This window comes from Homo sapiens, chromosome 1, assembly GCF_000001405.40.
Source record: "Homo sapiens chromosome 1, GRCh38.p14 Primary Assembly".
In the NCBI taxonomy this organism is placed as follows: Eukaryota; Metazoa; Chordata; class Mammalia; order Primates; family Hominidae; genus Homo; species Homo sapiens.
In genome coordinates this window covers 243,644,374-243,661,518 of record NC_000001.11, presented here as the reverse complement: position 1 = coordinate 243,661,518, position 17,145 = coordinate 243,644,374, and the positions used below count along the sequence as shown (strand labels likewise).

The 17,145-nt window shown below is 35.7% G+C and overlaps 1 protein-coding gene across 12 annotated transcripts in view; it reads left to right on the top strand.

Moving 5' to 3' along the window:
- AKT3 (AKT serine/threonine kinase 3) overlaps positions 1 to 17,145 on the top strand; it is a 362,847-nt gene that overhangs the window by 189,561 nt on the left and 156,141 nt on the right. For all 12 annotated transcript variants that reach the window (NM_181690.2, NM_001370074.1, XM_047420641.1 and 9 more), the window contains one exon: positions 15,482 to 15,626. In NM_181690.2, coding sequence (NP_859029.1) covers positions 15,482 to 15,626 — 145 coding nt within the window. The remainder of the gene's footprint in view (positions 1 to 15,481; positions 15,627 to 17,145) is intronic.

Here is a 17,145-nt window from a genome sequence, read left to right as displayed (position 1 = left end):
GTTTCAGCTTTCTACATATGGCTAGCCAGTTTTCCCAGCACCATTTATTAAATAGGGAATCCTTTCCCCATTGCTTGTTTTTCTCAGGTTTGTCAAAGATCAGATAGTTGTAGATATGCGTCATTTCTGAGGGCCCTGTTCTGTTCCATTGATCTATATCTCTGTTTTGGTACCAGTACCATGCTGTTTTGGTTACTGTAGCCTTGTAGTGTAGTTTGAAGTCAGGTAGCATGATGCCTCCAGCTTTGTTCTTTTGGCTTAGGATTGACTTGGCAATGCAGGCTCTTTTTTGGTTCCATATGTACTTTAAAGTAGTTTTTTCCAATTCTGTGAAGAAAGTCATTGGTAGCTTGATGGGGATGGCATTGAATCTGTAAATTACCTTGGGCAGTATGGCCGTTTTCACGATATTGATTCTTCCTACCCATGAGCATGGAATGTTCTTCCATTTGTTTGTATCCTCTTTTATTTCTTTGAGCAGTGTTTTGTAGTTCTCCTTGAAGAGGTCCTTCACATCCCTTGTAAGTTGGATTCCTAGGTATTTTATTCTCTTTGAAGCAGTTGTGAATGGGAGTTCACTCATGATTTGGCTCTCTGTCTGTTGTTGGTGTATAAGAATGCTTGTGATTTCTGTACATTGATTTTGTATCCTGAGACTTTGCTGAAGTTGCTTATCAGCTTAAGGAGATTTTGGGCTGAGACAGTGGGGTTTTCTAGATATACAATCATGTCATCTGCAAACAGGGACAATTTGACTTCCTCTTTTCCTGATTGAATACCCTTTATTTCCTTCTTCTGCCTAATTGCCCTGGCCACAACTTCCAACACTATGTTGAACAGGAGTGGTGAGAGAGGGCATCCCTGTCTTGTGCCAGTTTTCAAAGAGAATGCTTCCAGTTTTTGCCCATTCAGTATGATATTGGCTGTGGGTTTGTTATAGATAGCTCTTATTATTTTGAGATACATCCCATCAATACCTAATTTATTGAGAGTTGTTAGCATGAAGGGTTGTTGAATTTTGTCAAAGGCCTTTTCTGCATCTATTGAGATAATCATGTGGTTTTTTTCTTTGGTTCTGTTTATATGCTGGATTACGTTTATTGATTTGCGTATATTGAACCAGCCTTGCATCCCAGGGATGAAGCCCACTTGATCATGGTGGATAAGCTTTTTGATGTGCTGCTGGATTCGATATCACCACAGATCCCACAGAAATACAAACTACCCTCAGAGAATACTACAAACACCTCTACGCAAATAAACTAGAAAATCTAGAAGAAATGGATAAATTCCTCGACACATACACTCTCCCAAGACTAAACCAGGAAGAAGTTGAATCTCTGAATAGACCAATAACAGGAGCTGAAATTGTGGCAATAATCAATAGCTTACCAACGAAAAAGAGTCCAGGACCAGATGGATTCACAGCCGAATTCTACCAGAGGTACAAGGAGGAACTGGTACCATTCCTTCTGAAACTATTCCAATCAATAGAAAAAGAGGGAATCCTCCCTAACTCATTTTATGAGGCCAGCATCATCCTGATACCAAAGCCTGGCAGAGACACAACCAAAAAAGAGAATTTTAGACCAATATCCTTGATGAACATTGATACAAAAATCCTCAATAAAATAGTGGCAAACTGAATCTATATGACTTTAGTGTAATATCATTGAAGACTTAGAGAGGGTTAGTGTGAGTTAGAAAAACTCTCTATTTTTAATATTCTGCCCAGTCTAAAATTTTTACCTGTCATAAACTAAATCTGTATATCTCTCACCTGTCTTATATTTATTTCAGTACATGATATAAGGGTGGACTCTATTTTTTTCTCAATGGCGAGCCCATCATCTCATCTCCATTTATTAGATAATCCATTTTTTTCTCACTGATTGTGGATAACACATATACATATTTGCGCTTTTAGGATTTAGTCTTTTTTTCCCCTTTGACCTTTCTGTACTCTAGCATTAACACCACATGGCCTTAATTAGAGAAACTATAAAATTTTTAACTGTTAATATAGCAACATATCCCTTATTTTTTTTAACAAAAATGTTCTTAGCTACATTAGTGCATTCTTTTAAAAAATTATGGTAAAAATTACATAATGTGAAATCCTCTTTCATTTTTAAGGGTATAATAGAGTATTGTTAACTATGTGCATATTATTGTACAGCAGATCTCTAGAACGTTTTCATCTGGCATGACTGAACCTCTGTTCCCATTGAACAGTAGCTCTCCATTCCCATACCCCCAGCCCCTGGAAACCACCGTTCTACTTTCTGCTTCTGTGAATTCGACTACTTTAGACACATCACATAAGTGGAATCATACAGTGTTTGTCCTGTTACTGTCTTACTTCCCTTAGTATAATGTCTTCAAAGTTAATCCATGTTACAGCATATTAGAGGATTTTCTTCTTTTTTAAGGCTGAATAATATTCCATTGTATGTATATAACACAATTGCCTTCTTTCTTTTTTTTTTGAGACAAGGTCTTGCTCTGTCAGCCAGGCTGTAGTGCAGTGGTGTGATCATGGCTTACTGCAGCCTGGAACTCAGGCCCAAGGGATCCTCCCAGCTTAGCCTCCCCAGTAGCTGGGACTACAGCCACACACGCAACTAAGTTAATTTTTTTTTTTTTTTTTTTTTGTAGAGACAAGGTTTCTCTGTGTTGCCAGGGCTTGTCTGGAACTCCTGGCCTCAAGCAATACTCCTCCCTCGGCTGGAATTACAGGCATGAGCCACACTGCCGGCCAATACATTTTCTTTATTCATTCATCTGCTGATGGATATTTAGATTGTTTCCACCTCTTGGCTATTGCGAATAGTGCAACAATGAGCATGAGAGGGCAGATATTTGTTTAAGTTCCTCATTTCACTTTGTTTGAATAAATATCCAGAAATGTGATTGCTGGTTCATTTGGTAGTTCTACTTTTAAGTTTTTGAAGAATCTTCATACTGTTTTCTGTAGCAGCTACGTTATTTTACATTCCCAACAATAGTGTACAAGGTTTTAATTTCTCCACATCCTTGCTGACACTTACTTATTTATTTTTTATGTTGTTGTTTTTTTAAAAACAACAGCCATACTAGCAGGTGTAAGGTGATATTTCATCGTGGTTTTGATTTGTACTTCCCTGATAATTTGTAATGCTAAGCATTTTTCAAATACCTGTGTATCATTTGTATGTCTACTTTGAAGAAATGTCTATTCAAGTCTTTTGCCAAGTTTTTACTTGTGTTTCTGTTTTTTGTTTTCGCTACTGAGTTATAGGAGTTCCCTATACATTTTGAATATTAAGCCCTTATCAGACATATGGTTTGGAAATATATTCTCTCATTCTGTAGTTTTCTGTTTTGTTCTGTTGTTTGCTGTGCAGAAGCTTTTTATTTTGATATACTTCTACTCATCTATTACTGCTTTTGTCAGCATCAAGAAATCATTTCTAAAGACCAAATTATGAAGCTTTTCTCCTGTGGTTTTTTCCTAGGAGTTTGTAGTTTCATGTCTTATATTTATTCTTTGATCCATTTTGAGTTGGTTTTGTGTGTGGTGTAAAATAAGGCTCCACTTTTGTTCTTTTGCATGTTGATACCCAGTTTTCTCAGCAGCATTATATTTCCACATTGTGTTAGTTGTGACGCCCTTGTCAAAGATCATTTGACTGTATATATATATGGTTTTATTACCTGGGCTCTCTGTTCTGTTCCATTAGTCTATATGTCTTTATGCCAGTACCAATCTGTTTTAATTACTGAAGCTTTAGAATGCATTTTGAAGTCAGGAGGTATGAAGCCCTCAGCTTTTTGCTTTCTCAAGATTGTTTCAGCTGTTTGGGATTCTTTATGGTTTCCATACGAATTTTAGGATTTTTTTTTTCTGTTTCCGCAAAAATGCTGTAGGATTTTGAAAAGGATTGCATTGAATCTGTAGCTTACTTTGTGGTGTTGACATCTTAACAATATTAAACCTTTCAGTGCATGAACATGGGATGTCTTTCCATTTATTTGTGTCTCCTTTCATTTCTTTCAGCAATGTTTTGTAGTTTTCAGTGTACAAATCTTTCACCTTCTTGGTTAAGTTTATTCCTAAAGTACTTTATTCTTTTTTATGCTTTTGTAAATGGGATTTGCCTTAGTCCCTTTGGGCTGCTACAACAAACTATCATAAACTGAGTAGCTTATAAACAATAGAAATTTATTTCTTACAGTTCTGGAGGCCAGGTGTTTAAGTTCAAGGTGCTGGCAAATTCAGTGTCTAGAGAGGGCCCTCTTCACGGTTCATAGAAGGTGTCTTTCCCCTGTATTGTCACCTAGTAAAAGTGCCAAAGGAACTCTCTGAGGACTTTTCTATAAATGCACTAATTTAATCTATGAGTTCTATCATGACCTCATGAAGGCCCACTTCCTAATACCATCACCTTTGGGGTTAAGTAACCCAAAACATTTATTCTTTGTAGACCTAGTATCTGCAGACAATAACAATTTTATCTCTTCATTTCTGATAGTTTTATGTATTATTTCTGTGTGTTTTAAAGCAATGTTTAATAATTTTGATCATAGCACATATACCTTTTTTCTTAATTTATTGGATACACCACTAATTTACTGTTAAATATGATTTGTATATGTACTTTATTATGCTGCACATGACCATCCACAATATAGACAAAGGTCATTTTTCTTTCTTAACAGCTAACTACTTTCACTGTCACAACCATGGCCACGACACTCACACTCACATACAGAGACACATGTGCATGCGCACACGTATGCCTCGCCCCCAACATGTTCCAGATACATTGAACTCCTTGTTGTTTCCCAAGTACTAATGCTATACTGTGCTCTTACATTACCTGTAGCTCTTTCCTTCTTGCCCTTTTGTCCCTACTGCTAGGAACACCTCGTATCCTTTGCTTGTCTCTTGCTCATCCTGGTAAGTACCAATTCATTTTTCACATCTACATTCAAGAATTACCTTTCTTTTTGGGTCCCCATCACAAACTTTTATTATTGTTAGAACACCACTGTACTTAGCGTATACTTGTATCATTTTACCCATAACATTTTATTATACTTCCCCACAATACCAAGGCTCCCCCATCAGACTGTAAGTTCTTCCTAAGCCATTCCTTTTTTAAACTTTAGTAGCACACATGTATTAGACATTTAATTAAATATTTATTAGTAAGTAACTAATCAGTTGGTGAAAATTGATTTTTGTATGAAGTAGTATATGTACTTTTAAAAGATTAATGTACTTGTTTCATAGGGGTCTCCATTCTGTTTTTCAAATTAATTACATTTTTAAACATTATTTAGGAATAAAAAGATTGGATGCCCTCTTTCAATTAGTCAGGTACTTTGGCCTGATACTTTTTTGCAGGAATTACCCCCCCACACCCCCCCGCCACACCCTCACCAAATGGTGTAGGGTTATAGTTTAAGTATCATGAATTATGGTGAATTATGTAATTTGGGTCAGTAGTCCAGCTAACTACCACTAGTGAAGCTGGAAAAGACTTTTGTTTGTTTTTGTTTTTTAAAAAGACACCAGAGAGCTGATAAGGCTAAGATTTATTGGGCCAAAACTGTATTGAAGAAAGAAACCCAGACAGTGAACCTACTTTTCCTTTTGGGTTACCTGCTAGTTCTTGAAGTGGTATTGGAGATGGAGAGATTTTGAGTAGCTCCCAGAGCTGGGAGTGATATTTTGGAATCTAGGATCTGCCAAAGAGGAGACATGGTAAACCACTACATTTTGGTATTGGTAGCTTAAAGGACTGTACCCTGTAAGAAAGAGTAAACTGGAAATAGATTTGCTTTGAGAGGATTGACATATAACTATAAATTATTTCAGTCCTGAAATTGAGTGAAGGTGATTCAACTTTGCTAGTTTTCTAGGAGCTTGCTAAAAGCAAATGTAAACTCACTCTAACAGAAGATTATATCTTCCTAGACCTCACATTACCTCAGTTTTCATGTGTTGTGTCCAGGACTTGTTAAAAAATGAGTACACAAAAATTCAACACTATGTGGCCAAAATAATAGAGGAAAAAAAAACAGACAATAGAATCATATTCATAGGAACTCTAGATAAAAGAACTATACATTAATTAGTATGTTCAAGTATGTTAAAATTGTTTGATTCTACAGAGGGAAAGTATAAAAAAGAAACAAATGGATAATAGCTTTCATTTGTAATCAAGGTAAAATTAAAAAGAAAGAGCCCCATAGAAATTCTAAAATTGAAAACAAAACATTTGGAATTATGAGTTCTAGCAGATGGCTTTAATAGCAAACTAGACCTCACATTAGAGAAAATTAGCGAACTCAAAAATACGTCAGAACAGAACGTTTATAGTGAAACATGCAAAGATAAGAGGATAGAAAATAAAAATAATTAAGAATAGAATGTAAGATAAAAACAATGCGGTGAGCATGTCTTACATATATATAACTGGAGCCTTAGAAGGAGAGGAGAGAATAGAGCAAAAAGTATTTGAAAATATAATGATTGAAATTTTTTAAAAAATAGTTAAAGATACCAAACCATAGTTTCAAAAGTCCTATAAATCTCAAGTAGGAAAAATATGAAGAAAATCCCTAATCTCATTAGACTATTAAAAAACAAAGATAGTGGGAAAATCCCCAATGTAGACAGAGAAAAAAATGTTTGCTTTCAGAGCAGCAGCATGTAGACCAAAAGATAATGTCAATATGTGGGATGGAATAATAATGAAATATAATTGAATAATGTTCCCAAATAATGGAATATTTCCAAAGATGATGAAATGATATCCCCAAAGTTCTGAAAGAAAATGAGTGCTAAGAAACAACTATTTTCCATGAATAAAAGTAAAATGAAAATATTTTCAGTAAAAAATTGAAAGAGGCTGGGCATTGTGTCTTATGCCTATAATCCCAGCACCTTGGAAGGCTGAGGCAGGAGGATCACTTGAGCCCAGGAGCTCAAGACCAGCCTGGGCAACATAGTGAGATCCTGTCTCTACTCCCTTCACCCTCCAATAATTTGATAAGATTTGTCACTAGCACACCTATAATAACTAACCTAGTATTCTTTGGACACAATAAGAATAATCTCAGGAGGATAAGTACAGAATGGAATGAAAAACAAAATGCTTAAATAAACCAATAAATAAAAGTAAGCATTGATTTTTAAATAATTTATGTTGTGTTTTAATTATATAAGTGAAAAATATCTGAAGTAATATAAATTGAGATCCTGACAAAAATGGAGTTAATTTTTTGTGAGGTTGCTGTATTTTCTGGTAAGAGTTAAAAGTATGGACATTTTAGACTTTGCAAAGTCAAAGTTAAATATTATAATTTAAGTTACAATTACTAAAAAGACAGTGAGAGTATGATGGCTACCAGGCTAATTGGAGGAGAAATGGAATTAGAAATTATTCTGGCATATATTACATAAGTGGACCATGTAAAGCTAAGGATATATATAAAAATAATTGCAAAAAAAGACGACTGAAAAGCCAACAGGAAAATTAAAATGGAATTCTGAAAAAGTGCAAAATAATTTAAAAAACAGGCAGGAAAGGAGAAAAAGATAAAGATACAGGTTGAAAATAAATAGATTGAAAAAGATTGATCATGGAAACAGTAAGCATAAGAAGAATGGATTGCCGTATTATATCATTTCAAATTAAATGTATTACCATAGATTACTAGGATACTTTATAATGAGAAAAGTTTCTGTTGAACAGGATGATATAGCAGTCATCAACACATGTAACAGAATTAAAGGGATAAAAATGGGCAATTTCACAACCATATTTGGAGATTTAAAAATTCTCAGCACTTGGTAGAGGAGCTACACAAAAAACTAGCTAAGGCATAGAATAACATTGTCAACCACCTTGATATACCTAGTATTTATAGAACACTACACTCAAAAGTGGCAGAAGAGACGTTATTTTCAAGTAAGCATGGTACATTGATCAGGATGGAACATATTCTTATCAGGATAATGCAGTCCTCATAAAATGAGTTAGGGAGGATTCCCTCTTTTTCTATTGTTTGGAATAGTTTCAGAAGGAATGGGACCAGCTCCTCTTTGTACCTCTGGTAGAATTCAGCTGTGAATCCATCTGGTCCTGGACTTTTTGTGGTTGGTAGGCTGTTAATTGCTGCCTGAATTTCAGAACTTGTTGTTGGTCTATTCAGGGATTCAACTTCTCCTTGGTTTAGTCTTGGGAGGTTGTATGTGTCCAGGAATTTATCCATTTCTTCTAGATTTTCTAGTTTATTTGCATAGAGATGTTTATAGTATTCTCTGATGGTAGTTTGTATTTCTGTGGGATTGACGGTGATATCCCCTTTATCATTTTTTATTGTGTCTATTTGATTTTTCTCTCTTCTTTATTAGTCTGGCTAGAGGTCTATCTATTTTGTTGATCTTTTCAAAAAACCAGCTCCTGGATTCATTGATTTTTTTTTTGAAGGGTTTTTTCATGTCTCTTTCTCCCACTATTATTGTGTGGGAGTCTAAGTCTCTTTGTAGGTCTCTAAGAACTTGCTTTATGAATCTGGGTGCTCCTGTGTTGGATGCGTCTATATTTAGGATAGTTAGCTCTTTTTGTTGCATCGATCCCTTTACCATTATGTAATGCCTTTCTTTGTCTCTTATGATCTTTGTTGGTTTAAAGTCTGTTTTATCAGAGATTAGGATTGCAACTCCTGCTTTTTTTTTTTTTTTTTTTTTTGCTTTCTATTTGCTTGGTAAATATTCCTTCTTCCCTTTATTTTGAGCCTGTGTGTGTCTTTGCATGAGAGATGGATCTCCTGAATACAGCACATTGATGGATCTTGACTCTTTATCCAATTTGCCAGTCTGTGTCTTGTCATTGGGGCATTTAGCCCATTTACATTTAAGGTTAGTATTGTCACATGTGAATTTGATGCTTTATGATGCTAGCTGGTTAGTTTGACCATTAGTTGATGCAGTTTCTTCATAGTGTTGATGGTCTTTTCAATTTAGCATGTTTTTGCAGTGGCTGGTATCAGTTGTTCCTTTGCGTGTTTAGTGCCCTGTAGTGGTGACAAAACCTCTCAGCATTTGCTTGTCTGTAAAGCATTCTATTTCTCCTTCACTTACGAAGCTTAGTTTGGCTGGATATGAAATTCTGGGTTGAAAATTCTTTTCTTGCCTGTAATTCCAGCACTATGGGAGGCCAAGGCGGGTGGATCACCTGAGGTCAGGAGTTCGAGATCAGCCTGGCCAACATGGCAAAACCCCAACTCTACCAGAAATACAAAAAAATTAGCCAAGCATGGGGGCAGACACCTGTACTCCTAGCTACTTGGGATTCTGAGGCAGACAATCTCTTGAACCCAGGAGGCAGAGGTTGCAGTGAGCCAAGATTGCACTACTGCACTGCAGCCTGGGTGACAGAGTGAGACTCCGTCTCAGAAAAAAAAAAAAAAAAAGAATTCTTTTCTCTAAGGATGTTGAGTATTGGCCCCCACTCTCTTCTGGCTTGTAGGGTTTCTGCAGAGAGATCCGCTGTTAGTCTGATGAGCTTCCCTTTGTGGGAAACCCTACCTTTCTCTCTGGCTGCCCTCAACATTTTTTCCTACATTTTGACTTTGGTGAAACCTGGCAGAGACGCAACAAAAAAGGAAAATGTCAGGCCAGTATCCCTGATGAACATCTATGCAAAAATCCTCAGTAAAATACTGGCAAACTGAATCCAGCAGCACATCAGAAAGCTTATCCACCACGATCAAGTCAGCTTCATCCCTGGGATGCAAGGCTGGTGCAACATACACAAATCAATAAACGTAATCCATCACATAAACAGAACCAATGACAAAAACCACATGATTATCTCAATAGATGCAGAAAAGGCTTTCAACAAAACTCAACTCCCCTTCATGCTAAAAACTCTCAATAAACTAAGTATCGATGGAATGTATCTCAAAATAATAACAGCTATTTAAGACAAACTTACAGCAAATATCATACTGAATGGGCAAAAACTGGAAGCATTCCCTTTGAAAACTGGCACAATACAAGGATGCCCCCTCTCACCACTCCTATTCAACATAGTATTGAAAGTTCTGGCCAGGGAAATCAGGTAAGAGAAAGAAATAAAGGATATTCAAATAGGAAGAGAGGAAGTCAAATTGTCTCTGTTTGCAGATGACATGATCGTATGTTTAGAAAACCCCGTTGTCTCAGCCCCAAATCTCCTTAAGCTGATATGCAACTTCGGCAAAGTCTCAGGATACAAAATCAAGGTGCAAAAATCACAAGCATTCCTATACACCAATAATAAACAGCCAAACCATGAGTGAACTCCCATTCACAATTGCTGCAAAGAGCTTAAAGTACCTAGGAATCCAAATTACAAGGTATGTGAAGGACCTCTTCAAGGAGAACTACAAACCACTGCTCAAGGAAATAAGAGGACACAAACAAATGGAAAAACAACCCGTGCTCATGGATAGGAAGAATCAATATCAAGAAAATGGTCATACTGCCCAAAGTAATTTATAGGTTCAGTGCTATCCCCATCAAGCTACCATTGACTTTTTTCACAGAACTGGAAAAAACTACTTTAAACTTCATATGGAACCAAAAAATAGCCCGCATAGCCAAGACAATCCTGAGCAAAAAGAACAAAGCTGGAGGCATCATGCTGCCTGACTTCAAACTATACTACAAGGCTACAGTAACAAAAACAGCATGCTACTAGTACCAAAACAGAGATACAGACCAATGGAACAGAACAGAGGCCTCAGAAATAATACCACACATCTACAACCATCTGATCTTTGATAAACCTGACAAAAAGCAATGGGGAAAGGATCCCCTATTTAATAAATGGTGTTGGGAAAACTGGCTAGCCATATGCAGAAAACTGAAACTGACCCCTTACTGACACCTTATACAAAAATCAACCCAAGATGGATTAAAGACTTAAATGTAAGACCTAAAACCATAAAAACCCTAGAAGAAAACCTAGGCAGTACCATTCAGGACATAGGCATGGGCAAAGACTTCATGTCTAAAACACCAAAAGCAATGGCAACAAAAGCGAAAATTGACAAATGGGATTTAATTAAACTAAAGAGCTTCTGCACAGCAAAAGAAACTATCATCAGAGAGAACAGGCAGCCTACAGAATGGGAGAAAATTTTTGCAATCTATTCGTCTGACAAAGGGCTAATATCCAGAATCTACAAAGAACTTAAACAAATTTATAAGAAGAAAACAACCCCATCAAAAAGTGGGCAAAGGATATGAACAGACACTTCTCAAAAGACATTTATGCAGCCAACAAATGTATGAAAAAATGCTCATCATCACTGGTCATTAGAGAAATGCAAATCAAAACACAATGAGATACCATCTCACACCAGTTAGAATGGCAATCATTAAAAAGTCAGGAAACAACAGATGCTGGAGAGGATATGGAGAAATAGGAATGCTATTACACTATTGGTGGGAGTGTAAATTAGTTCAACCATTGTGGAAGACAGTGTGGCCATTCCTCAAGGATCTAGAACTAGAAATACCATTTGACCTAGCAATCCCATTAGTGGGTATATACCCAAAGGATTATAAATCATTCTACCATAAAGACACATGCACACGTATGTTTATTGCGGCACTATTCACAATAGCAAAGACTTGGAACCAACCCAAATGTCCATCAGTGATAGACGGGATAAAAAAAGTGTGGTACATATACACCATGGAATACTATGCAGCCATAAAAAAGGATGAGTTCATGTCCTTTGCAGGCACATGGATGAAGCTGGAAACCATCATTCTCAACCAACTATCACAAGAATAGAAAACCAAACATCCCATGTTCTCATTCATAAGTGGGAGTTGAACAATGAGAACACATGGACACAGGGAGGGGAACATCACATACTGGGGCCTGTCAGGGAGTTGGGGGCTAGGGGAGGGATAGCATTAGCAGAAATAACCTAATATAGGTGACGGATTGATGGGCACAGCAAACCGCCATGACACATGTATACCCATGTAAGAAAACTGCACATTCTGCACATGTACCCCAGAACTTAAAGTGTGTATGTATGTGTGTATGTGTATATATATATACACATAACATATATATATACACACACACACACCCAACATACACACACACACACACACACACACACACACACACACACACACACATATACACATAACATATTCTTGGTCATAAAATAATTCTGAGTACATTTTGGAAGATGAAAGTTATATGGTGTATGTTCTGTAATCCACAGAATTAATTAGAAATCAATAACAGTAAGACAATAGATGTCAATTACTGGAAATTAACATAATTTTTTATAATCATTGGGTCAAAAAACTCACAAGAGCCATTAGAAAATAATTTTAAATGAACAATAATGAAAATAATACATATCAAAATTTGTGGGGTGTAGCTAAATGAATGCTTAGAAGGAAATTTGTAGCCTTAAATACCTGTATTTGAAAAGAAGAAATTTCTCACATCGTTAACTTAAGCTTGTATCTTAAGAAACCAGAAAAATAAACCAAAAGAAAACAGAAACAACAGCAATCAGAAATTAGTGAAATAGAAAACAGAAAAATAGTAGAGAATAATTAATAAAACCAAAAGTACTCTTTGAAAAAAATTAATAGAATTGAAAAACGTTTTGGGGTATTGTTAAAGGAAAAAGAGGGAAGACACAAATTACTGACATCCAAGAAAACATTAGAAAACCCAATATCAATGAATGGAAGTGAATTAGTAATTAAGAACCTTTCCTCAAAGGTTCCAAGCCCAGACAGCCTTATTGGTGCGTTCTGTCAAACATTTAAGTTAGAAATTTGACCAATCCTCTACAAGCTGTTTGAGAAAATAATGAGAAGGGAGTACTTCTCAACTTATTTTATAAGGCCACTGTCACCCTCATTTCAGAAATCAGACAGAACTATTTTAAGAAAAGACAACTATAGCCCAATACACTTGTGAACATATGCAGAATTTCTTAACAAAGTATCAACAAATTAAACAATAGGTAAAAAGCATAAAAGCTTAAGTTATGTGGCCAAATGGAGCTTCTCCCAAGAATTCAAAGTTGTGTTAACATCTGGAAACTATTAAGCTAATTTCACCATATTAATATGATAAAGTTAAAAATCTGTGTGATCATTTTATAGAGATACAGAAAAAGAATTTGACAGTTTTATTTTCTTTTTCTTTTCTTTTCTTTTTTTTTTTTTTAGACGGAGTCTTGCTCTGTCACCCTCACTGGAGTGCCATGGTGTGATTTCAGCTCACTGCAACCTCCATTTCCTGGGTTCAAGTGATTCTCATGTCTCAGTCTCCCGAGTAGCTGGGATTACAGGCTCCTGCCAGCACATCCAGCTAATTTTTGTATTTTTTGTAGAGACGAGGTTTCACCATGTTGGCCAGGCTGGTCTTGAACTCCTGACCTCAGGTAATCCGCCCACCTCAGTCTCCCAAAGTGCTGGGATCACAGGCATGAGCCACTGCACCTGGCCTACATTTGACAAAAATTCAACAAACTTTCATTAAAAATATGCAGATGGCTAGAAATAGAATAGAACTTAGTTGATTAAGTAAATGTTATATAGAAGATCTACAACTTACATAATATTCAAGGGGGATGAAAACAATGTTATTCCTAACTTGTGAAACAAAGCATGTATGCTGCTGTTTACTTTCATTTAACTTTGTACTGCAGGTCTGATCTAGGGCAATAAAGCAAGAAAAAGATGTAAAAAGCATACGGATTGGAAACAAGTAAAGCTGCTCTTGTTTGCATACCACATGGTTGCATGTGTAGAAAATGCAGAAAAATAAGAGTGACTGGAACTAATAAATGAATTTAATAAAGTTGCAGTATACAAAGTCAATATACAAAAATCAATTGTATTTTTAAATACTAATAAGTACAATTAGAAAGTGAAATAAAACCCTCCACAATAGCATAAAAGAACAGTCTTGTGTCACTTAATGACAGTGATACGTTTTGAGAAACATGTCATTAGGAACATTGTGTAAACATACTACTTGGACAAACCTAGATGGTATAGCCCACCCCATACCTAGGCTATTTGGTGTAGCCTGTTGCTCACAGTTTACAAACCTGTACAGCATGTTAGTGTACTGAATACTATAGACAATTGTAATGCAATGGTAAGTATTTATGTATCTAAACATATAAGCATAGGAAGGGTACAGTAAAAATACAGTGTAATAATCTTAGGGGACTGCCATCGTATATGCAGTCCATCATTGACTGAAACATTGTTATGTGGTGCATGATTGTATGTAGGAATAAATTCAGTTAAAGATGTGAAAGATCTTTACACAGAAAATTACAAACATTGCATTGGGAAATTAAAGACCTGTATAAATGTAGAGCTATACCATGTTCATGGATTGGAAGATTTAAATGATTACGATGGTAGTTTTCCCAAAATTCATCTATAGATTTAATGTAATTCCAGTCAAAATCCAAATAGACTTTAAGAAGTAGACAAGCTGATTTTAAAATTCACATGGAAAAATAATGATCCTTGGTCTGATAACCAAATGTCAAAAAATAAATGCTTGATATAAATGCTCCTGAGACTGATTGTTCAAACTACAAGCTGTATCCTTTTTTTTAATTTTTTCTAAGAAATTTACTATGATCTGGAAACAATGAAAGGTTTTGGCTTTGAAAACCTTTCCTTGGAATGTCTGTTGGACCTCATAGAAATCTTCAGGATGTCAATGATGGACTTAAAATAGCTAAGCAAAACACTTCTAAAAACTGCAGCAAACTTTTAGGGGGTCAACTTAATAGTTAGGATTGGCCAAGTGCGGTGGTTCATGGCTGTAATCCCAGCACTTTGGGAGGCCATGGCGGATGGATCACTTGAGGTCAGGAGTTCGAGACCAGCCTGGCCAACATGGTGAAACCCCGTCTCTACTAAAAATACAAAAATTAGTCAGGCATTGTGTCACACGCCTGTAATCCCGGCTACTCAGGAGGCTGAGACAGGAGAATCACTTGAACCCACGAGGTGGAGGTTGCAGTGAGCTGAGATCATGCTATTGAACTCCAGCTTGGGCAACAGAGTGAGACCGTTTCCAAAAAAAAAAAAGTAGGATATATATATGTACAGACAAATAAAATTTAACTTTTCATGTAAATGATTTTAACTCGAGTTTTCAACAATTTTTTTCTTCTCTTTTTTTCTTTAACATACTTCCAAAAAATGCTACTACAGACTTTAGGCATGTGGTGAATGAAATGCTCTTAGGATTATTTTCACTTTGGGGTGATGGTGAGAGTGTATGCTTATCTGTGTTGAGTGTGTTTGATCTCTGAATAGATTTTATTTGTATTGATTTCATAGTTTATAAAAGGAAAATATTTAAATCATTTACCATCTTCTATTAATGGGAAATTTTACTCATTTTTATAGGGAAGAATGGACAGAAGCTATCCAGGCTGTAGCAGACAGACTGCAGAGGCAAGAAGAGGAGAGAATGAATTGTAGTCCAACTTCACAAATTGATAATATAGGAGAGGAAGAGATGGATGCCTCTACAACCCATCATAAAAGAAAGGTAGAAAATAATAACTTATTCCCAGCACAGCATTCATTTGTCTGGAAGAAACATATTAAAAGCTACCATTTGCAGAAAGATGTCAGCCAGTTTTCTTACGATATGTAAATATATTGGTGGGTCTTATTCACATGAATCTGAAATACCTGTTGTTGTTTAAAACCAAATAGGTGAACATTGTTTCAGTGATCCAGCACTTTAGCACTGAATGCTGATAGGGCTCATGTGTGACTGATGTGCCATCACACTACTTTATAATTTGCATTTTTTCCTTATTATTTTTAATACAATTTTAGAAACTTTGTAATAAAATGTTTTCCCTGATGATTTGTTCTTTTCCATTTCGCATTTCGTATTCTCCCGAAAAGCACGAGCAGTAATGGCTCGGATGTACTTCCTGATTGGTGCCCTCAGTCATAGTAAAGTCAGCAGGAAAGTGAACAATCTTGGAAACAATAACTCTTATTTAATGGCTGCTTCTGAGTCAGTAGGGAAATAGACTTTTCCTTCTCTCAGTGTTCCAGCATAATAAGTACGAATTTATATTTTTATGAGCAATATAAATTTTTTCATTGCAATAGAAAATTGAAAAGCAATTTCCTTATTACAAAAATGATATTTTCATGATTAAAGATAGAGGTGTTGAGATAAGCTTGCCATTTATCACTTTAGAATATGTTTGATTTAATAGGTTGTAAATTAATCTTCAGGGAGGAAAACACAAATTTTCAAGGTATTATCCATGAAATTTGGTATTAGCACAGTGATTAAGAACTCTTTGGAGATAGACTGCCTGAGTTCATATCCTCCCTTTTCCACGTTAAACTTGTGGACTTGGTGAAGTTACACACTCACAACATAAAGTTAATTATCCTTTCCTTATGTGAATAAGAATAATATTCTATACTTGATCTGGGCCAAATGTCTGAGATCCCTTTCTGTCTTCATTGTAGATTTCTACTCTGTTTGTTTGTTGAACTGAATCCCTCTTTTCTTTTACGTCAATTTAATCTGCCTTGTTCCTCCATCATTGCAAAAAGAAAAACAAAGTCTAGCTACACCCACCTACCTACTCAGAGATAAGAAAGCTTCTTTTGTACATGTGTAAATTATTTCATTTAAAATGAAATGAAGAATAGTGTAAATCTGATATGGTTAAGTATTTGAACCCCAAATTCAAAATACCTCTATGGATTTTTCTTTTTGGAGACTCAGTTGGAGTAAAAAATTCTAAGAGAAGATGTTTTAGAGTGATGTTTATGTTTAATTATCTTTATGTGGACAAAGAATAGTAGCTAACTTTAATAGCTAATATTTATTGAGCACGTATTACATAAACACTTTAAACATTTTTTTTTTCATTTTGAACTTCAACTATAAGTTAAGTACCATTATTATTCCTGTTTTATAGTTAAGGGAAATAAAGGATGGAAGGATTAAGAAATTTTCCCCTTAATTACACACAGGGTGGGAGCCAGTACTTAACCCCAGGCAGTAAGATCTGAACTCCTCCCTTTCT